The 23,909-nt window shown below is 39.6% G+C and overlaps 1 protein-coding gene across 3 annotated transcripts in view; it reads right to left on the bottom strand.

The window, feature by feature from the left end:
• Positions 3,525 to 23,909, bottom strand: part of CENPF (centromere protein F) — a 61,377-nt gene continuing 40,992 nt past the window's right edge. For 2 of the 3 annotated variants that reach the window (NM_016343.4, XM_017000086.3), the window contains exons 13-20: positions 20,696 to 23,539; positions 19,269 to 19,421; positions 16,210 to 16,386; positions 15,107 to 15,268; positions 12,693 to 12,855; positions 10,687 to 11,163; positions 9,068 to 9,246; positions 3,525 to 4,505 (exon numbers count right to left, since the gene is read on the bottom strand). In NM_016343.4, the coding sequence (NP_057427.3) occupies positions 4,302 to 4,505; positions 9,068 to 9,246; positions 10,687 to 11,163; positions 12,693 to 12,855; positions 15,107 to 15,268; positions 16,210 to 16,386; positions 19,269 to 19,421; positions 20,696 to 23,539 (4,359 nt within the window). In that variant the 3' untranslated portion in view covers positions 3,525 to 4,301. The remainder of the gene's footprint in view (positions 4,506 to 9,067; positions 9,247 to 10,686; positions 11,164 to 12,692; positions 12,856 to 15,106; positions 15,269 to 16,209; positions 16,387 to 19,268; positions 19,422 to 20,695; positions 23,540 to 23,909) is intronic. The other variant, XM_011509082.4, reaches the window with a different exon arrangement.

The following is a 23,909-nucleotide window of genomic DNA, read 5'->3' as shown; positions in this document are numbered from 1 at the left end:
TTTGGGATATGATCTATCCCATCATCAAAGTAGTGAGCATAGTACCCAATAGTTTTTCAACTCTTGGTCCCCCCTTCCTCCTTCCCCCATCTAGTAGTCCTCAGTGTCTATTGTTCCCATCTTTATGTCCACATGTACCCAATATTTAGCTCCAACTTATAAGTGAGAACCTGTGGTATTTGGTTTCCTGAGTTAATTTGCTTAGGATAATGGCCTCCAGTTGTATCCATGTTGCTGCAAAGTACATGATTGAATTTTTATTTATGGCATCATAGTGTTCCATGGCGTATATGTAGCACATTTTCTTTATCCAGTCCACTATTGATGGGCACCTAGGTTGATTCCGTATCTTTCCTATTGTGAATAGTGCTGTGATGAACATAGGAGTGCATGTGTCTTTTTGGCAGAATGATTTATTTGCCTTTGGGTATATACCCAGTAATGGGATTGCTGGGTAGAATGGTAGTTCTATTGTATAAGTTCTTTGAGAAATCTCCAAATTGCTTTCCTGAGTGGCTGAATTAATTTGTATTCCCACCATCACTGTATAGGCATTCCCTTTTCACCACAACCTTGCCAGCATGTTAATTTCTGATGTTTTCATAATACCCATTCTGACTGGTGTGAGATGGTGTCTTATTGTGGTTTTGATTTGTATTTCTCTGATGATTAGTGATGTCGAGCAATTTTTCATGTTTGTTGGTCACTTGTATGTCTTCTTTTGAGAAGTGTCTGTTCATGCCCACTTTTTAATAAGGTTTCTTTGTTGAATTGCAAAAAAGACTCTTTGAAAGGATTTACCTCTACATAAATAATGCGTATGCATTCAGTTAGTAGACAACTTTTAGTTGGTAGACAACTTTTAGGAGTTAAAATGTATAGCTAGTCCCATTTTACATTTTTGAAATTAAATATAAGGTAACCCAAATCAGATGCAGACAGCCTAGATATCTTCATTGCCATTGCACATAGAAAGTGGAAAAGCTACTTAATATCATCTGAAAATCTATACTATCAGAATTATTCTGGAAAAGACTGCTTCCAGAGAAGCTACAGGACAAACAAGAGAATGGGTTTTGTATTTGCAAAGCTGAGGTCGAAACTCAACTCTGCTACTTCCTGGGCCAAATACGCTGAGCCTATTTTATCTTCTGTTTGATAAGGATAATCTTCATTTTGCAAGGTTGTGGGGAGACACACAATTATCATTAAGCAAGATCTCCCCAGGCCTATGAGTGAGAAGTTTGACCTCTGTCTCTTACCTCACAAAGGTGGAAGTTTCAGCACACATGAAAATACCTTGTAAAATGTAAGACTTTCCATCCAGTATTTTAAGTAGTTGAGCCAAAGCTAAAGTGAGTAGTAGCATTAGATACATAGCTGGGCTTGCAGGTAGGATGGCAGCTTCAGGTCCTCAGACTTTTCAAATGAGAATAGCCAGGCTCTTCTGAAGCACTCAAGGCTCTATTCTCTCCTCGGTCAGTGAGTTAGCATACAACCCCTTTCCCTTCAAAGAGAAGTCAGCTCACATGAACCGAAGCGGGAGAGCACATAACTCTCAACTACCAAGTGGTAGTTAATTTTAGGTACTTACTGTTCTCTTCAAAAATAATTGTATCCCCCTCCTTAACTACAGAAGAGAAATATGAAAAACATGCTAATGATCAGTGCAACTTCCGACTGTGGTGCAATAAACCTATGGCTTACAAGAACTCATCAGTTTATTTACTATTTAAATTTCTTTCACGACATACTGCCCATAGCCTGAAGGATTTTGGAAGAACTTGGAAATTCTAAAATAACAATTGGTGTTGAGCCATGCTAAGAGAAGTTAGAAACTTCTGCAGACTCAAACCAGTTGGAAAGTGGAAGAGGTCTCCCCTCCTTGAGTTACGGGCCCCCAGGAAGAAGTGCCCTGACTTCTTCCCAGGTGCAAACAAATCTGTGAAAATTTAGTAGTTCCAACAAAATAAATAAACTGGAATCAAATGAGAAAAATCACAAATAAATCTCAAAGAAGGCAAGTGAGAGGGTGAGGGGAGGAGTGTCTCAAGAAATAGAAATCAGGCTACATTTAAATTTTGGTTCTTATTTCTTTCTTACTGAAGATGCAGTCCCCTTAGACTGCCAGCAACTCCCAATAACACAAAGGTCCATTTCAGCTCTTATCCAATATTTACGGTAAAAGAATCATCTCAACCAAGCTCCTCATTGTACAGATGAGAATCTGATTCCCAGATCTCTGAACTTGATTCATTTTCCCATATGATTTGTCAGCGGGGGATCTTACTCATGACTCAACTGGCTTATAAGGTACTTGAAAGTTGGAATGGTAGCATGTTTACTTTCATCCCGTATGCAGCTCAGCTCATAGCAGAACAAGTACTGTCAGCTTGAGGAAAAGAATAATGTCCTGGCTGTCCACTTACAAGATTTTGAACAACTCTCTACAATTATAAAGATGATCGAGACCAGCCTGGCCAGCATGGTGAAACCCCATCTCTACTAAAAATACAAAAAAAACTGCCAGGCATGGTGGCACATGCCTGTAGTCCCAGCCACCTGGGAGGCTGAGGCAGGAGAATGGCTTGAAGCTAGGAAGCAGAGGTTGCAGCGAGCCGAGATCATGCCACTTCACTCCAGCCTGGACGACAGAGCAAGACTCCCTCTCAAATAAAAAAAAACAAAGAACAAAAAAACAAGTATCCAAGTAATAAGAGCAGCAGCTATGGCATACCTAGGAAAATACAAAGAGATGCTTTCAAGGACCCACGATGCTACCCAGCAAAGCCTACAGAGTGGAATCTTCCAATCACTGGAGACAGCCAATAAAGCTGATGGCCTGATCCCAACAATGTCTGCTCGGGGTCATGCCCTTGAGCACATGGGGGCCCTGGGATGATTTACGGTAAGGATATTGCACCAGACCTCAACCCCAAGCAACTGAAGAAACAAGAGGAAAGTCAGGATATCACTTTCAGCTGATGAATATTAAGTAGCTTAATATTATTGAAGCATTATCCAACAACAGAGGCCACCTTGCGAAGGACAACTTTTAAATATAAATGATGGTGCTTATCGGAATTTGTGCATCAATTTGGACTGAAAGCCAAGAACAAATGATCTTTTACTAGCGCATGCCCTGGGAAACTTTTTTACCCTGATTCAAGGATGTAAGAACTTGTTCAAATGTTTTTGGATCTGACATGGCTTATAATGCCTGCATGCTTTCAAAACTATATCATCATCAAGTGAGCTGGGAAATACCACATACTTGTATCCTTGATGATGTGGTTTAATGGGGACACAGAATGTAGGAGGCACTGGGCTGGACGTCTTATATTCCCATATACTCCTTATGACCCGTATTCCAAATTGTGTCTTTTAATACAACTAAAGATGCTAAGATCATTTGTTTAAAGATCTGTATCATTTGTTCAAACATTTTCACGTGTATAAGAGGCTGTTGTAATTAGCAAGAAATAGTACCAATATTCGAATGCCTTTACACTTAGGAATCATTCTTACAGAAAACGAAGGCGACTATTTTATTAGAAAACAAAGGCTATATGTTAATCCATCACCAGATACGACAATGCTTACCAAAGAACTGTAAAAAATTGGTCTAAAAACAGAAAAAAGCACAACGACAGACGCATGGTATAGCACACCTCTAGGAAGCCTGCAGCCCTCACTGGAAATAAACACATACCCACACACACATATGTACAGGTTTCATAAGCAAAGATGTCTAAAACAGATTGTAAGAGAAAGATAAACACTCCTACATGTATATGTGTGCACATTTTCCTTAAAAACACATAACATGCTTTTCCTTCATTTTACTCAGCTCTGAGAAATTCCCGATACAAAACTATTCCATGCCTCATACTACAGATAGAATATCATAAAGCAAAAGTCTACATTTTCCTAGGAGCTGTTAATTAGAAGAATAAAATGTGTTTTGCATTTTTTTAGTGTAAAACCCACATACAAACAGAGATTGTGATATAGTGCTTGTCATTTTAATTGTAACATATTACCAAAAAGCTTTATATACATAGCTTTATACTATTTACATTGCAGTAGAGGAATGGCAATGCTAACAGGTGATCAGTGCTTCCAAACTTTTTCAATACCTACACATGGGAGATCTAAAGAGTACAATATATTTAAGACTTCTAAGGAATTGTTTTCTCCTCACTAATAAAGCATGCCCTGACTAAAGAGAAGTCCTGTAGGCACAGCCTTATCTATTCAATGACTGGCACCTCCCAGGGGTACTGACACACAAAGTGCCTTCACTGGACCTTACAGTTCTCACTGCCGTTGGACTCCAGTCCAGCTTTGGGGCTGGGGACAAGTCGGCCTCGCTTGACCCTCAGGCCCTCTCTGGGGCTGTCAGTCGGACTTCTCTCAGGAAGATTATTGACTGGGACGGATTTCGTGGTGGGTTCTCGGAGGATGGTGCCTGAATCTACTGGGCTCCGCTGAGCAACTTTGACCTGCAACACAAACATCTCTGTTAGAGGTTCAATCACATTCACATTTCCACAACATGAAAAATAAAGCACTATGTCACTAAGTTTTAAATTAAGTTCTTCTTCTCTAGGAGTTATATATAATTGAAGTATTTCCTCTTCCTTGAGAACAGGCCCCATCTAACAGAGAACTTAGGAGGATACCAGGTACAACCTCTAACCAGTCATCAGACGTCCCTTGGCACCTCTGATGGCAAAGACTATGCCCTATTTACCTATGTATCCCTAGAGCCCACAACATGCTTGACCACATGGTACACATCCAGTGAATTCCTAAGTGAAAAACCTGCCTCTGTTGTCCTAACTAGCCATTCCTGTTGTTTAAAACAAGTGTAACCCAAATGAGTAATACTACCTCCACAGGGTGGAAAATTTTAAAATGACCAAGGACCAGTTCAGGGTATTTTAATCATTCTCCCTTTATGGCTGACTGTTTCCATATTGAATTTGGACTAGAGCAGAAGGGCAGCTATCTAACAATAAAGTCCGGAAAGAATAAATCCCCTCTCAAACATCCTGCCTTTTAAAGGAAAGAGATATCTCAGAAAATTTGAGACTTTAAGTAGATGAGAGAGTAAGGTAACTGGTGAGTGAAGATTTTTTGAAATTGGGTCAGGCTTAGTGGCTCACATCTATAGTTCCAGCTACTCAGGAGGCTGAGGCAAGAGGATCGCTTGAGCCCAGGAGTTTGAAGCTGCAGTGAGCCGTGATAGTGCCACTGCACTCCAGCCTGGGGGACAGAGCAAGATTTAAAAAAAAAAAAATTGAAATTTATATAGTAGTGAAAAAAGATACACGGTCAAAAAAGAGAAAAAAGTGCAAGAAAAATGAAGTATAGGAAAGCTTCACCTAAGCAAAGTTAAAGGCAAGAGTGGAAGATTCAAGTAGGAAGATCTTTCAAAGAGAAAGGAGAAGGGCCTCTTGCATAATGGACACAAGGATCTGTGTCCAGCACAGTTGCTGGGAAGTAACTACGTGACAGACACTCCCTGAGCAACTGACTTCCAGGGATCTCCTTCTGATGCAAGAAGAAAAGGGAATGGAAATTATTTTCCCATTTATATTCTTTCCATAGGAAGCATGTGATTTGAAAAAGGCAGTTAAATACTTTTCATTACATGAAACATAGTAAATCTGGCCAACAGATCAAATCCCAGGAAAGCTCACTTCTCCCTCAGAGTGTGTCCAGGACACTGAAAAGACGCAGCCTTGGAAGGTCAGGACTTAATGGAAAATTACCATCCATGGAAAGTTGAAGGAAAAAAATAAAACAAAGTTTTGCTGGTACTTTTTTTTTTTTTTAAAGAGAAATAGTGATTCCAAAGACAAGGTTTCCCTGGAACCCACCAGATGTACAAGAAACAAATCTTTAGGTTTGCCATTTAAAAAGAGAGAGACAGATAGCCCATAGGAAACAGAAAGTTTGAGCCTATAAGCCTCTTTATCCCAATCAAATGGCTAACGTCCACTCTTTCTGGCTTCTCCCCTCTAGACTCAATTTCTGATACTGAATTGAGGACACTTTAGTTGTGATCAGAATTTAAACTGTGGATTTGACCCTCCTGTTGGTTAGTTAGCTTCAGAATGGTCTATAACCAGACAAAGTCAAATTCACCAAGTATTTAATCTATTAAGATAGTACATCCTCCTAGAATAACACAGGGGAGGGAAAAAAAAAAAGTGCAAGCATACCCTAATTGTCTCATAAATGATTCTGCAGTAGCAACAGAGAGAGGGCAAATATGCATGTAGTTCAGTGAAAATGACCCTCACAAGTAGGAAAAAATGCAAGATCCCCACAAAACTAACACCACCATCCACGATGGGCTCTACAGCTTACTGGCCAGTCCTCTGGAACTGATCACAAAGCCCAGGTTCAGGAGATCAGGTCTACAAGCGCTGTCTCCCTTGTTCCCAACAAACGAGGGGTTCCTGAGCTAATCCATCCCAGTGACATAATAGAGAATGATCCTTACCTAATGTGCATTTTGCCAGTTTTTTCCCCTTTGAACTTGTCAGATGTTACTAAAGGTCTTGCTAAATGACCTAGGAAACTGTCTCTCATAACCCAGCCAGTCACCTCAAAGGAGAACTCACAACCCTGAGTTTCTAAGCAACTGCTTTGGGAAATAATACCTCATTCTAGATTTTTAAAACTAAGTGATGTAATACGCTTAACAGATGAGGCAGCAAGCATTTTACAGGGCAACTCAGAAAATGCTGAATTAAATTAAAAATTACTGGGCTAGGTTTTGAAGAGTTTGAATCTAATCATGAATTCTCCTATAACTGCTCTCAAAAGGTCCCTCTCCTCATTTGCAAGTGCACAAAATTGCTTAGCAATTCATAACTGCTGGTGCCTACTGAACAGCATGTAGCTAATGCACTGAACAAAATCTGCAGAAACCATGGTTACTACTCCCTACTCAGCAGATTCAACAGCAGTGAGGAGAGCAGGCCCCCTAGCGTGCAAAGCTCTTTTTCCTAGATAGTAAGTCTGAACGCCGCATGCAAACTGCTTTTACCATCAGTTCTTCGCAACAGAAAAAAAATGACTTGTGATGATTTCATAAGACCATTTCCTAGCATGCCTTTATAAACATCTATTAATGCAATCACTTCAGGACATTCACAGTTCCATTCATTCAGTGAATATTTGTTGAATGTCAGACACTGCATAGACATAAACTATAGATGTAATCAGTAACCTCACAGAACTCAGATTGCAAATCAGAAGACAGATATTTAAACAAGAGATTACAATAAAGTGAGCTGCCTAAAGACAGTGGAGGCATAGAGTACCAGCTATATGTCATGGTTTTCTAAGAGAGTCAAATACTTCGTTTGATCTCCAGAAGTGTGAGACAAACAGGAATGGATGTTACTTTTTACTGAGGTTTGGGAAAGGGTGGCTCCCAGTCACCCTTCTGAGAAAATGGTATGGCCCATATCGGGACCCTAAACCTGACTTCTCCTGTATTCAGTATCCAGTGGATATCTTGTAGTTGACAGCTTTGGACAAGCTTGGTAGCTCCACGGTTTAGGGGCACTAGTTGCTTAAAAGAGAAGCTGTTCTCATGTTCATTGGAAAGTCAGTATATTCAGTATATTAAATATATATTCTCCAGTATATACTTCAGTATTTTGTTGTTGGCAGCATGCCAAAGTTAAATCCGAATGTGAGTAACAGAGAGAATTTGGTAGGGGAGGGGAGAAAAATTTGCACAAAATGGTAGACTATTTCTAATAAGAGTAACAAATGGGTCCACTTTAGTGAAAGAAAATCTCAGAGCATTCTTCTTCATACTTGAAGAAAAATTTTAATATAATGTATATGATGAACAAATTTATTACTAAGTATAATTCCTTAATGCTTATAGCTCTTATACATCAACAAAAAGAAATTTGCAAATCTGTTGTTGTGATGTTTAGATCAAGAAATCTAAATATATTGTACTCTTTAGATCGCCCACGTGTAACCACCAATGTGTTCATATTTGGTATCCCAAATCCTAAGAACGTGCTTGCTCACTTATGAATTATCACATTACACAAATAGGGGTTATTACACTTTCAAAGCTTTGTTTTCTGGTTCAAGGTTATCAGCTCGCATACTTGATCAAACTCTGACAAGTGAGCAATCAAGGTAAAATCACAGACTGTTCAAACTCTTTGAAGCTATTCCAGCAACTTCCAAAAATATCCCCCTAGTCCCCAGTCTGAGAAACACTGGTATCGTAGAAAGATCAAGACTGTGGAGTTGAGAGGAAGTAGGGGTTCACACTGGGAGGTTACATCTTTATGAGTCTCACGTTCTTCACTCTTTTATAATACCACTTACTGTGAGAGTTCAATAAAATGAGAAAGATAAATAAAATGCATATACTTTGCATACTTAAATGGCAGCTGCTGGTATGGATCATAGTAACAGGAATAAAGATCTGTTAAGCAAATATTCTCTATGCTCTACATAACATTTTCTGGGATGTTGTAGGGTACACAGAAGTCACTAAGATCCTGTTGTATCCTCAACAATCAAAATAGAGAGATCTATAAACAGAGTTCCTTTCCTTAGATATCTATTGAAATATGTGCTTTTTTTTTTTTTAAGAAAGTAAAGGATTAATAAAAACAATAAAGAATTAGCAGCTGGGGGCAGATAAGTGAGAGTAAAGTTTGAAACAAACAATGACTAATACCAGTGGCGAAAGGGAAAATTACCTCTTCAAATCCTTCATCAGTAACGCCTGAAACTTTCTTAGAAATCCACTGAGTTTTGATGTAACAATGCCATTTTCCATCAAACTACATATAAGCGGCCTGTTGACTGAAGGATGAGATCATGTACCCTGATACTGTAATGCTCACCCGGTCACTTGCTCACTACTGACTGACTTACACCACACCAAGAAGGTCAGACTTTTTGAAAGCGCTCCTGAATCGGGGGTGCAGTGTCCAATCCTCACCCAGGTACTACTGCAATTTTCTGGATCTCAAACAGTAGACGGATGTTGACAGTAGTTTACCTTTTGTGATCTGCTGCCACCAGCTGTTGGTTTGGAGGACTCTGCAAGATTTTCTTTGCCGAGACTCAGTGGGGATAGCGCTAACTTCTGTGCAGCCAGGCGGGGGCTGGTCCGAGTTGCCATGGTTGTTCTTCGCAGGATATATGGGCTAGTCTTTCCTGTCGGGATGTCAGCAAACCCTAAGGGCAAAAAAAATAACTGTCAGCACTGCTAGGTCCAATTCTATCTACAGTGGAAAAGATATTCATTAGGTGGTTTTAACAAGGATAATGCAAACTCCAAAAAATACTTTGTCCTAGCCACTGTGGTCAATGGATTACACTTCACAGTTGCCCTGGGAGTCACCAAATTGAATCAAATAACTTAACAGGTTTTTCTCTTATTAGAAACATAGAAAACAACAATGGGAGAAGAAGGGGAAAATAACACTACACAGAAAAAATTTTTTCTGCTTCTATCTTCTATGTAGATGTTTTATTTTGCATTTTTCTAAGATCTAAAGAATGCCAGCAGGCCTTATTGTAAAATTGGGTTGGGGAAAAAAGGAGGGTATAATGGAAAAATAAAAGATAAAAAAAAAAAGAAAGGGAAAGGGGGGAAATGTAAAATGGTAACAGCTACTTCAGGCCAGCACTCTCATGTAGGTGGGAGGAGAGAAACTGACCTTTCTAAAGGTGATTTCACACTCACTCACGTTGTCTCTTTCCACAGAAGGAAGTGACATGACTTTGGATGACCCAGGAAAGAAAGTCAATCCCAGGGATACTAAGAGTTAGTGTATCAACACACACTCCAGAACTGCATTCAGGGCTAACTAAAGCAGCATTTGTTTTTGTTTTTTTCACACTTTAACTACATATAAAAATTACCAGTGAGAGATAGATAACTATTTTTGGGCTAGAGTTACTCAGAACAATGCTTTTCAAACCATCAATGGCAAAGCATCAGTTTTGATATTTGGGGGCAGAGGGGGTTCGAAGAATTTCCAATGTGCTGTGGAATAATATTTTTGTATAATATAATGAGAACAAATCAATAGAAAACATGATATGTGCTTGGATGTTACAAAAATATCAAGTTGCTATGAAAATTTCTAAATTCCTACTTAATTACAATACATTGTTTCAGTTGGGAACCAATAACAAACAGTTCCTAGAATGGCACCAGTCCTTGGGCCAGACTTGGGGGAAAACCAAGATTAAAACAACAAAACAAAAACAAAACAAAGTGTAGTCAGTGGCTCCAGTCAGGGGGCCAGCATCACAGGGTGCACCCTCCAGCTCACCTGCTAGCTAGGTCAGACATGACCAACGGGTAGGAAACGCTGACGGGAGTCCTTAATTTAATAATTTTTTTCAGCATTCAAATAACAAATTCCAAACAGATTTTAGACAGCCATTTTTCCAATCTACCAGCTCTTTTGTTAATGTGACACAAGTAATTAGATCCTAGAGGAAAACATATGCCTCATCCATTTAAAAGCAGACTATTGCTTATGAACGTCAATGAGATTATTGCACAATAATGTAAAAAAGCAAATACTTTTGTCTTTTTATATGTGAACCATTATATGGAATTTCAAAAGAACACAAATAATTTTGTCTTTAAATTAGGCATACCTTTCTTTACAACTTCTGGAAGTCCCTCTGGCTCAAACTCAGTACCTTCCGTGTCTTCTGCAGGGTGAATACCACTCATGACTGCTTTCTTGCTTTTTTTAGAAAAGCTCTCTGGGGTAGCAGGTGTTGGTCCTCTACCATTCTCCCATATTCCACTGGATCTTTGCCTCTTGCCTGAAGCTTTATTTTGGCCAGATGATAACCTCTTTTCAGTAACAGAAGGGATTGGAGATGGTCCTGGAACAACTGGACCTAGCAAAGGAGACCCTCGGGAATCTTGTTTAGATTGCTGTGAACACAGATGGGCCACTTGTGTCTCTAACATCTCTTTAGCTTTCTCTAACTTTTCATGGCTTATAAGCAAGGAACAGTACTTATCCAAGTATTCATCTGCCTCCTTGGTTTTTTCTTCAAGAGTTTCTTTCAGTTCTTTGATCTCAGTTGTTAATTCATCGACCTTGGTATCCATAACAGTACCTGTCCAAAGTAAAGCAACACATCATGTGCAACTTGATGCTTCTCTAGTTAACAATGGGCATCGTGAAGCAGATAATCTTAGACGTGTTCTTTCTTTGATTTTTTTTTTTAAGAGGTTGGGGAGATATATCTGTATATGTTCTTATAGTTCAAACAACTCTTGTTCGGGAGGTATATCATATCAAGGCAGATATTCTAGTCCTGTGACACTCATTGGGACAGCTTAAATAAAATCCACCAAAGTCTCAAACTCATATTTCAGCCAACTCATTAAACGTTCTTGCAGCGTCAGTTATATCCAATCAAATAAATTCATTTTTTTACATCCTTATTTTCCCCAGTCCATTCTGTCTACCATAAGTGGATGAACAGAAGTCAGCAAAGATTATGAAGCTTCTGTTGTATGGCTTTGGGAGACAAGATTCTAACAGATGACCAGGCAAATCCAAAAAAACACTCTGAAAGCATCTGAAGGCAATGGAGGATCTGATGAAAAAGGGTTTGGGGGAACACTATAAAGGTGGGAATCTTGGTCAACTTGTAGCTGCCATGGGTGTATTAAATCCATTAGAAAAATCCCCTGAAGCCCCAATCTACCCTGAGCACTGTTTCCAACAGGGAAGACTGTTGACCCACATCCTGCTACACTACAGACCAGAGAAGCCAGTCAGATTATGCTTGTCATCATCTATCCACACGGTAAGCACATGCCACTCCAGGGGTATAAGTGGATAAAAGTGACAAGGAGAGTTATCATTTCTTTCCTTTTCTATTTTGCCTGCACAACTAAAAATATGCCTCCCACCCTCACCCGTTCCCTTTAGTTGACCCATACGAATGGACTGAGGATAACCAGAATCAGCTATTTATAAATTACCAAAGCCAATTCTGATGCCAATCTATTGACAAAGAAACCACGTAACTGGACATCGACATAAAAAACTCTTCTTAGAATGGCTCATTAGCAAAAAGTTCCACCAGTTTTTTCCATGTTTTATAGAATGGAAGATGCGATAATTCTATTTCAAAATGGCTTCATTCAGGCCAGGCATGGTGGCTCCTGCCTATAATCCCAGCACTTTGGGAGGCCAAGGTGGGCAGATTGCTTGAGCCCACAAATTCAAGACCAGCCTGGGCAACATGGCAAAACCTTGTCTCTACAAAAAATACAAAAATTAGTCGGGTGTGGTGGCACCTGTCTATTGTTCCAGCTACTCGGGAGGCTGAGGTGGGAGGATCGCTTTGAGGTCGAGGCTGCAATGAGCCATAATGGCACCACTGCACTCCCACCTGGGTGACACAGCAAGATCCTGTCTCAAAAACGAAACAAAAAAAGGCTTCATTCTGAGTCCTATAATGATCCCAAGATAAGCACAAAATTCAGAAATTGGAAAATGGATTAATGGTAAAAAATCAGCACTCAGTAATAGAACACAGCACTAAAAATAGTTCCTATGCACGCATACCATATGTTATTTCACTACTGGAAAAGAGTTCTGGCTAGTTGATGTGCCCCAGTTAACACCCACCTGTTTTCTGCTTCTCCTGTGCAGCTTGAAGTTGAGAGAGTTCTTTCTGCAGTATCTCCTTTTCCTCTTCCAGCTGTTTACAGGATTTGATCAACAACTTCATTTTCCCCTGGGCACGTTCATTTTCCTTCTTCAACTGATTTACATATTTTAGATTGTCCATCTACAAAATAAAAGTAATTCCATTTAAAACCTTGAATTTCTTTTTATAAGCATATGGAAAAATAATTATAAGATATAAGATTCATATATTGTAAATTTAAGAATTATTAGATTCAATACAAAACATCTAAAGATGCACAAAACCATTCACGTTCTCTACTCAGTTTCCTAAGTCCCCCCAACTGACAATGTGGTTTTGTCATTCTCTTTCTTAGTATCACAAGTATAAACTACAGTTCCTGAGATGTCTATTAAGTGCCCACTATGTCTGTATTTATCCAATGGGAATCGCATTGGATTACTGGACAGGGAGACAACGAACATATTCTTGGTGAGTCCAAAATTCTCAATGACAGAATTGTGTTCCCATTTGTAATCACACTGTTACAGTTTCAATACCTGCCTTGGTATTTGTTTTAGCCATACCAAGTGAAGGCCAAATGATATTCTAGCTCACTATACAAATTTAAATTTCATTGTGGCTCGAGTAGAAAGACAACAGAATGATGGGAGAATTGTGTCCTCATACGCTTCTCAGTGGTACAAGTTCACATTCTTATTCACAATTCCCAAATCAAAAAAAAAGAGCTATGAAAATGATTTAGAGGCAAAACCCAACCTGAAGAGATATAAAGGTGTTCATGTCTTTATTAATTAATTAATTTACTTATTTTTAAGACAGGATCTCCCTCTGTCACCCAGGCTGGAATGCAGTGGCACCATCATGGCTCACTGTGTGACCTCCTGGGCTCAAGCAATCCTCCCACTTCAGCCTCCTGCATAGCTGGGACTATAGGTACGTGCCATCACAACCAACTATTTTTTTTTTTTTTAAGAGATGAGGTCTCACTATGTTGCCCAGGCTGGTCTCAAATTCCTGGCCTCAAGTGATCCTCCTGCCCTGGCCTCCCAAAGTGCTGGGATTCTAGGCATGAGTCACCACACCTGGCCCAGTATATATAGTCTCTATTTATCCTGCCTTGTGAGAGTATCCACACATTTTGCTGCAGAAATATGAATTCGATTATGCAATATTATAGCAGATCCCTCTGGGATATTATATATGGCATATGCATTACATTATTAAAGTGCAGAATTCTAAAACCATCTGATATGGCATCATGAATTTCCAAAGGAAGACCAAACAGCAGCAGGAGGAGGAGGGGGAATGAGGATGGGGGACGGAGAAGAACACAGTACCATATTCATGTTGCAAGTAAATGTTAGAGCTTGGATCTCATCTTTGTATATTTCATCTTGAAATTATTTATTAGCAATGTTGCAGTAAACCTTACCCTTTCAGAACTTGCGACTTCTGATTCCAATCACAAATGAATTCAAGACCCATTTAATTCTATTTCAACAGTGCTACTTCCTTCTATTATTAAACCCAACATCTCATTTTGTAGCAGCAGAACATTATTAATTATTGTGATTTTGAATTTTACTACTTTGTATTTAATTGGTAAATTTCCTTTACCTTGATAGTTGTATAAGAGCCATAAACATAATAAATTTGTACCTAATTTTCTGTTTGTATATATTCAATTAATCTCAAAATTTAAAAAATATAATCGTCTTCTAAGTAAAATATTTTCTGGAAGATATTTATTATCCAGGTTCATTACTATACACTGTGGGTATTTATCTTATGAAAAATATCTGTAGGAATGAAAACACCTCCTTTTCCAGGTAGAATTACAGTGGTACCATCTTGAGACTAGCAATCCTGAGACTAGGGTTCACCTTCATTGTTCCTAAAAAAAAAAAAAAAGTTCTATGATCCTTGCGTGAAGAGGAAGAGGAGAATATCCACACGTCTGCCTGACCAAGGTGCTCTGCCACACTTTGATCTCCCCGTAAGCCACAGAAAAGTGAGTATGGTGACAGTGAAGTTGGAGACAGCTCATTCAAGATTTTGGAATTGCCCGTCAGACTGTTTTCTATAGCTTAAGAGGCCTGCCCTCATCTGCTGTGTGGCTGGATCTTCAAATCTATCTCAAGAAGTCTTTAACATCCTCTAGTTTGAGAGGATGCATGAGGCAATGGATAGCTTATTCAAGCTATGAGACTGTAGATGACCCACTGATTTTTTTTAAAGATAACTCAGCAGAGAACTGATGAATGACATCATTTTTGACTACCAAAAATTTTCATAAAATGAAAATGAAAACGTTTAATGCTATACCATTAAAATCACTACCACCTGTATAAACCATTCGAAATCATGAAGCAAATTAAAGTGAACATACCTTGGTTTTCTTCAATTCTTCCAAAATCTGAGTAGTAGCTTTCAATGAATTATTGAGCTCTTCTTTACTAGACTTTAAAAGGTCTATCTCCAGCTTCTGTGAACTGAGACATTCTTCTTTAGAAGTCAATTTCTCTCGGTATGTCTGGATTTCTACTTCATACTAGAGCAAAACAAACAAAAAAAACCAAAATGTTACTTTAGCCAGGAGGCACAGCTAAAAAAAAATAGTCAGAAAAACAAAAAACAGCTGGGCGCAGTGTTTCACACCTGTAATCCCAGCACTTTGGGAGGCCAAGGTGGGCAGATCACGAGGTCAGGAGTTCAAGGCCATCCTGGCCAACATGGTGAAACCCCTGTCTCTACTAAAAATACAAAAATTAGCTGGGCGTGGTGGCAGGCGCCTATAATCCCAGCTACTCGGGAGGCTGAGACAGGAGAATTGCTTGAACCCAGGAGGCAGAGGCTGCAGTGAGCCAAGATTGTGCCACTGCACTCTAGCCTGGGTGACAGAGTGAGGCTCAGTCTCAAAAAAAAAAAAAAAAAGAAAAGAAAAACAAAAACAAAACCCTGCCTTTCCAAGGACTATTTCGACTTTGCAGCTCTCCTATTATTCTACTCCAAAATGGAAATATACCTTTTTAAAAAATCAACCGGGCCAGGCGCAGTGGCTCACGCCTGTAATCCCAGCACTTTGGGAGGCCAAGGTGGGCAGATCACAAGATCAGGAGATCGAGACCATCCTGGCTAACACAGTGAAACCCCATCACTACTAAAAATACAAAAAATTAGCCGGGCGTGGTGGCGGGCACCTGTAGTCCCAGCTACTCGGGAGGCTGAGGTAGGAGAATGGTGCAAACCTGGGAGACGGAGCTTGCAGTGCGACAGAGAGAGACCCCATCTCAAAAAAAAAAAAAAAAAATCAACTGATAAAATAAGAGAGGGACCTGGGGAAAAGATCGTGAAGTTAATGTGAGACCTTTTAAAAGATTATATAGCATAGTAATAACCCAGAATATTGATTTTTTTTGGAAAAAAAAAAAAGCCTTACCATGATCAAAATACACTCTCCAGCTCCCCCAGTAACCAAACCCCACATTTCACCTGTTTGTTTGTGTCCAAAAGCAAAGCCTGGTGTTTCTTTTCAGCTTCATGAAGCCGTAGCTGATATTCAGCTATTTCCTCTCTCACTTTCCCTTCCTTTTCCACCTGGTCTTTGTGCATGCAATCTAGGCTCTTCTTCAATTCACTATTTTCTAGTGTGAGCTCCTTCAATTGATCCTAAACAGAAAAATAATAAAATCATAATAGCACCTCCTCATAATTAAGAACCTGGAAATATTTTTAGGAAATAATGTGTACTGTGTAGAAAAAAAATATTTATGGGCAAGATAAAATCTGTACAGAATAGTGCTATAATCCTTAGCAATGTATTCACTTTTAATTGTGACTTCACCTCCAATAACACTTTCCTCTGCTCCAGCCCAACCACCTCGCAAGGTCATATCCAGAGACCACAGAAACTCTGAAACCTTGAATTCAATTAAACCACTCTGGGACCACACCTTCCTATGCTTCCAACCTTGTTTATTAAAGTACTTCCATTGCAATAATTCCTGACCTCATCAACAGAACCACTACCATCTTCACACCAAATCCCCTCCGGACTTGCATTTTCTTCCTTGACCAGCTTAGACTCCAGTTCTGTCACTATAAGAATTTCCTTCCAAATGCCCTCCAATCTTTTGCCCCATCCCTTCACTGTGAAGAACTGGCCAAACTCCAACCCTGGAAGCATTTGTCTTCTCCGTGCCTGACCCTGAGTAGCTGTCTCTGTATGTGTTTCTGTATGTGTGGTGTCTACTTCCTCATCTCCAATTCTTTAACCTGCTCCAATCAATTCGTCCCAGCTCTTCCTAAAAAAGCTTTTCATGGCATCAGCAACCTCCATGCTGCAAACTAAAGGCACATTCTTCTAAGCTCATCTCAATCGACATCTAAGTAGTATCTGGGGCTGCTGACCACTCCTTCCTTCTTTTGTTTTTTGTTATTATTGTTGTTGCTGTTGTTGTTTGGTTGGTTGGTTGGTTTGGCTTAGTTTTCTTGAGACAGGGTCTCACTATGTTGCCCAGGCTGGAGTGCGGTGGCACAATCATGGCTCACTGCAGCCTCAATCTCCAGGGCTCAGGTGATCCCCCACCTCAGCCTCCCAAGTATGTGCCACCACGTCTGGCTAATTTTACTGTTTTTTTGTAGAAACAGAGTTTTGCCATGTTGCCCAGGCTGGTCTTGAACTTCTGGACTCAAGTTATCAGCTCACCTCGGCCTCCCAAAATGCTGGGATTACAGGCATGAGCCACTATATCCAGCCACTCCCTCCTTCTTGAGACATTCCTTCCTCTTGATTTCCAGAACATGAGACCCCCCTGGGTGTTTGCCTTATCAAGCCTTCTCTCTGTCTTCTTTGCTGGCTCTTCTTCCTCCATCTCACCTTGTGTGCTAGAGTTCCTCCAGGCTAGGCCCTGAGCCGCCTTCTCTTCTCCATCATTTTCTACCATTCCCATAATTTCTAAATACTCCCTATATGTTGAACTAGCCAAGTGAATATTCCCACCCCAAACCTTTCCCACCCCCTCCATACCCTTCCTACCCCTCCAATCTTTGTGCATGTCATTTTCCATCTGGCTCCAGCCACAATGGCTTCCTTTCAATTTCTAAAAAAAATACAAAGATCTTTCTAGTCCCAGAGCTTTGACCACACTGCTCTCTAGACCTAGAAGGCTCCCCACCACTGCCTGGTCGTTGCATAGCTGACTCGTCATCTTGCAAGTGACATCTGCTGACCACCCTATCTAAATCTGCTGACCACCCTATCTAAATTAGGTTGTTTCCTACCCTGATATCCCCACATCCCAATTATTCCACAGCAAAGAATCTTATTTGTTTCCTTTATAGTATTTATCCGCTTATTTGTTACATGTTGCCTATTTCATGATTTATTATGTGTCTAGACTGTAAGCTGCATGAGTGCAGGAAACACAGGATAGGTATGGTTCAATAGTCTATCCCCTGACCTTACTAGCACTTATTATTTAGAGAATGAATAAATGAATGAATAAAGCCAATGCAAACTAACACACTCATATGTATGGGGCTGAGGCCAAACTACTCCTCTCAGTAGTGCCCATACATAAAATACAATAATGACGCACTTGGGACACTCCCAAGCTACTCAACACCAAAAGAGATTTCAGCAGACGCAATACACAAATATCATTCAGAGGAACTCCTTCCATGCAGTATGGCCAGAATATGGTCTAAGTCCATTCCTGAGATTTGATGCCAAAACCTTTCCATTTTCATAGATTAAATACTATATTTAAAGAAAAGAACAAATCTCTCCAACTCTTTATACAGAATATTACATGTATCATTTCAAATTTCTGTGATTATTCAGGGTCGCAATCATGACTATCTTATTTTGCTGTTCTTTAAATACTACTCAGGGATGAAGTTGCATGAGGACTAAACAGCTATAGGGATGTTTATAATTTAATCAGGTATGACAAACAGGTTTCATTTCATCTGCCAGCTCTCTCTGCATGGTAGCAGCTACCCAGTACACAGTGTTAGGAGACTCAGGAAAAAGGGAGGGTATGAATTAGTAATATCTACTATGGAAATGGCAGTGGGCAGTGGCAGCCCAAGTGCTATAGGTGTGCCACATTAACCCTGCCTAAAACTATGACTTTAGTTCTGTTACTTTGTTAGTTCTTAGCAGATCAATGAATGTGTTTCTAGCAACATTCCACCCTGTAATCTGTGGCAAGCTAGGGAGGCAGATAAACTTGTTGAAAGCGGCATGAGATCTACTTCTGTTGTGCGTTAATGTGGTCCAAGGGTCCTCTTCCATGAAAATGTATTTGGGCTCTGAGACAGATACTTTCATGTGTTCAGAGGCTTCTCACGACTCCTTGTGGGCTCCTGATAGTGCTGGATGGTAGAGATTACTATAAATCAGATTATGACATAAGCACAGGGTTATTTTTTTCAAGAGCTAAAAATAAGTTAGGTAAACAACAGAAGGTCTTACAGGAACCAATAAGGAGAGTGTGCACAATGAATTAACAGATCATAATAACACTTGTCACAAAGAAACTTACTTTGCTGCTCTTTATTTCTTCCAACAGTAACTGCAACTCTCCAGCTAGCCTATTTTTCTCTCCACTGAGTTCTTCTTGCAGCTCTGCTGTTTTCTGTGCCATCTCATGCATTTCCCTCTGCAGCTCAGTTTCCTTTGCAGTCATTTTGTTTACCTGAAATTTCATCTTTCATTAGAATCTGCTTTTTGGTGGTCTGTTTTGATCAGATCGACCACTCTGATACAACATATTCATGCCATTTATTTTAGCCTTCAATCATAAAATGGAAGCTGGCTAATCCCGCCTTTACTAATCCACTCAACTCAACATTCTCAAAACCTACTAGTAAGCTTACCTTTTCTTCCCAGAAAAGATTTAATAGAAGAATAGTAATAAGGGAAGGAATGACAAGGAAAGATAATATCCCTAAGTCTTAAAATCTTTCACAAAGGTATTAATTTGAATTAAACTTAAACATCAAAGATTATCATTATCAGGCAGTATCTTATCACTTCTTGGATCTCTACTAATCCCCCAGTGCCATACTAATCTGCAATAAACATGCTTATGATTACTGAAAAACAGTTAAAAAGCTATTGTTTGCATTTGTCCCTTGAAGTGAAACAGCTTGCTATGGTTTGTCTCATCATCTCTATACTGACTGCCATCTCTTGCAAGGTATCCAAAACCCCAAAATTCTTAGAAAATACAGGGTGGAGATGAATTTTGTGGATAGTCCTTTTATTCTTTAATATTTGTTCAGCAAGAATTAAGTGTGACAAAATCACTTTCCTAGATCACTAAGTAAGCTCACTGGGCCAAAACTTAATTTTTCTTTAATAATTGAGCCTCTTGATGGCAGATCTTCCCTTTAATCATCAACTAATACAATAGAAGACTGCACAAAGAGAAGGTATAAGAGGGACTGAAAGCACGAAATCCCCAAAACACACCCTAGAAGCCATGAGTGCTCTGTTGGTTACAAATCTATCAGTATCTTTAAAAGTGCTTTGTCCTGAAGGCAAAAAAGACACAGTAAGGCAGGCAGATCCTTTCCGATCCTAGATAATGTCTGTTATACTCTCTATAGCAGTGAGTCTCAACTGGATATGGGGAGGCCACTATTCTGATGTACTCTAAGAAAAGGAAATATAACTAGAACAAGGAACTGTGCATAAACCAAAGCTTTGCCCTTATGTAGGTGCCACATTAAAAACCTGGTCCAATCCATGAACATGTCCCAAAGAATCAGCCAGAATAGTGACTACTGCCAGAGCCAACTCAGTGTTTCTGCAATTCAAGACCCAGTAAACATAAAGCCTTTACAAAGTTTGGTCCAATATAGCAGACACGGTCTAGAAGTAAATACAATTCACAGTGTCTAGAAGAAAATATGGTTTCCTGCCTCATGACTACATATTTAAACATAAACAGATATAGCCACTTACTTTTTCAACAAAGGACATTTTGTCCATTTTTGTCAATTCAAGCTCATTCTCTAGATTCTTGTAAGAACTCTGCAGCACTTCTAATGTGTCCTGCAAAGAGGCATTTTTGGATTGTAGCACTTGGATCTTCTGCTCCAATTCCACTGTCAGATTTCTCAGTTCTAAGTTTTGCTCCTTCCAAAGTTGGTGCTCTCCTTCCACCTGGGACAGTTTAGAGACAAGCTGCTCTTGGTCTTGAATTTGATTTTTCAGTCTACTGATTTCTTCATCCTTCTTCTCCAGTTTCTGCTTGCCATCTTCTACTTCTTGAATGAGGCCATTCACTGAAGATTGCAAAACAATATAATTATTTTTGGCCTCATCAAGGCCTTGTAGCAACTGAGCCTTCTCAAGTTCAAGACACTCTACTTGACTACTAAGATTCTGCTCTTTGGCCTTACAGGCTTCTTGGTCATTATGCAGGGCTGCCACTCTCTCATTGAGCTCTTTTAATTGTGTTTGAAGCATCTCCATGGCAGTGCTTGATTTTTCTTTCATCTGTACTTTCTCTTGCTCTTTTTCTTGCAAAATATTTTCAAATGATGAATTTATTATTTCTAATTCAGATATTCGCTCTTGCTCTTTTTGTAATTCATTTGTCAGATTTTCTTTTTCTGACCTTATAGTAACAACATCTAATTCCAGACCTCTCAGACTTTGGGTCATCCCTTCTATTTTTGCTTTTAGGGTCTCTACCTCTCCTTTGGAATTCTCTGCCTCAAGAGCTGCATGCTCTTGGTTTGTCCTGGCTATCTCTAGCTCTCTTTCAAGGTTCTCCACTCTACCCTTAAGTAAATCTGCATGATGCTCACTTTCCTTCAGTTGTTGTAAGACACAGAGCTGCTTCTTTTCATCAGCTTCTAGGCGGGCTCTCAGCTTTTCAATGCTATTTCTCAGCTGATGCTCTTCCTCTATTGGTGGGTCTAGACTCTGTTCTGTGGCCTTCATAATTTCTTGGTCACCACACAAGGCTGCTACTGCCTCATTTAGCTCCTTTAACTGATTCTGAAGCATCTCCACTGCAGTTTTAGATTCTTCTTTGATCTGTATCTCTGCTTGCTCCTTTTCTTCTAACAGACTTTTAAATGAAGAGAGTAACTTGTCTAGTTCTGACAACTGACCTTGTTTTTCTTGTATTTGTTTTGTCAGATTTTCTTTTTCAGACCTTAACGTGACAAGGTCTAATTCAAAAACTTTCAGGCTTCTGGCCATCTCTTCTATTTGTGTTTTTAGAGTCTCTACTTCTGCTTTGGAATTCTCGGCATCAAGAATCACTAGCTCCTGGTTTTCTTCTGACATCTGCAATTCCCTTTCAAGGTTCTCAACTTTATCCTTAAGTGAATCATTCTCCCGCTCGCGTTCTTTCAGTTTCTCTGCGATGTGCAGCTGCTTCTTTTCATCGGCCTCAATGCGAACTCTCAGTTTCTCGATGCCTCTTCTCAGCTGATGCACTTCCTCCTGTGTTGAGCTCAGCCTCAATGCGAACTCACCTTTCTCCACCAGTGCGGCCTCCAAGGCCTTGGAGACATTCAGCTTTTCATAATCTGATTCACTCAGTCTGGCCTGCAGGCTTTCAGATTCCTTGACAAGCAATTCTTTCTCTTTATTCAGTTGTGCAATTTGGTTTTCCAGCTCACATTTTGTCAAAGACAGTGCCTGTGAGTCCTTTTCCAAACTCTGCAGCTTTTCCTGGAGATGAGTTTTGTCTTTTAACAGCTCACTCACATCAGAGGACAAAGTCTGAAGGAGTTCCGTCTTTTCCTTCACCTCTGCCTCTGCCACCTGAATGCAATGGAGACACTCACTTTGATGAGACTCAAGCTCTTGTGTTTTCTCCTTCATTTTTTCAGACAACTGATCCAGTGCCGTGGTTTTTTTTGACATAGTATCTAATTCTCCACGAAGCTGGTTTCTCTCACTTGTGACCACTGAGAGTTCTTCTTCAAGGCAGACAATAACCTTCTGCTTATTTTCATTGTCTTTTTCTAAACATAGCTTCTCTGTTTGAACTACCTCTAAGTCAGCCTCCAGGTAGAGGGCTTCATGCTCAATGCTAGCTTTCTCCGATCTGATCCTACTCAGCTCATTTTCCACATCAAGAAATCTCTCCTTCCAGCTGTCATTCACCTTGGCCACATTATCTCCAATATCTTCACGTGATGATTTATCTGCATGCATTTCTAAATCAGAATTGAGGCCTTCAGAAGTTTCTACTCTCTGGAGTAACTCCTGGTGATCACAAGAAAAATATTCCAATTTTTCACTTAAATCTGAGTTTTCTTTCTTAAGTTCCCCAACTATTTTTTCCAATTCTATGCATGCTTCAATTTTGGTCATTAGTTGTACCTCCTGTAAATGGAGTTTTGAGTCTAATTCTTTCATTTCATTTAGCAAACTTTCAACTTTTCTGTCACGGTCCTCTATCACATGAAGTAATCTCAAATTCTCATTTGATGTCTCTTTTACCCGCAGTTGAAGATTATGGATATCTTCCTGATTCCCCAGGAAATCCATAGGTACCAAAGCATTAGGACCAGAAAATGACAATTCAGAAATGCATTCTGAAGAGCCCTGGGTTTTATCTTCCCCTGGAGGCTCATAATTGGTATCTGGGGACTGTTCCCCAGAGCACTCTCCTGTGGGTTTCACTGCACCAGTCTCAGTTATTTTCTCAATGTCTAGATTGAGGTCCTGCTGAGCATCTTTATCACAAATCTGATGAACATCATGCTTTGGTGTTCTTTCTGTAGTTTCTGAAGTATGTTCTTTTGATATGTCACAGCTCTCATTTCGGCCTTGAATAGCCTGTAATTATAATACATAACAAGCATGCATTTTATTTTTCAAAAAGAATCAAAATAGAATAGATTTAGTTATTACTTTTTAGAAACTGATGCGTGGCCTCTGCTAAACACATCTCTTAAAGTGGTGAATTTCCCACTACATCTTTCTCTCTTCATTCAAATGTTCAACATACTTATACGTTCAGTAAGTGGCCCCTATGGGCAAGACACTGGGGTTAGGCATTTATCTTGAAGACAAACCCTTCGGCTCAATTACAATTTGTAATGTATTTAAATTTCATATTTTTCCCTTGCTAAGAATATTCAGGTAGCCTAAATATGAAATCTCTTTGTAATTATTAAATAAGAGGCTAACAAAATGCTCAGCTTCC

The sequence above is a fragment of the Homo sapiens genome, chromosome 1 (assembly GCF_000001405.40).
Source record: "Homo sapiens chromosome 1, GRCh38.p14 Primary Assembly".
Classification (NCBI taxonomy): domain Eukaryota; kingdom Metazoa; phylum Chordata; class Mammalia; order Primates; family Hominidae; genus Homo; species Homo sapiens.
The sequence above is the reverse complement of the archived record's forward strand: the minus strand, read 5'-3'. Positions and strand labels throughout refer to the sequence as shown.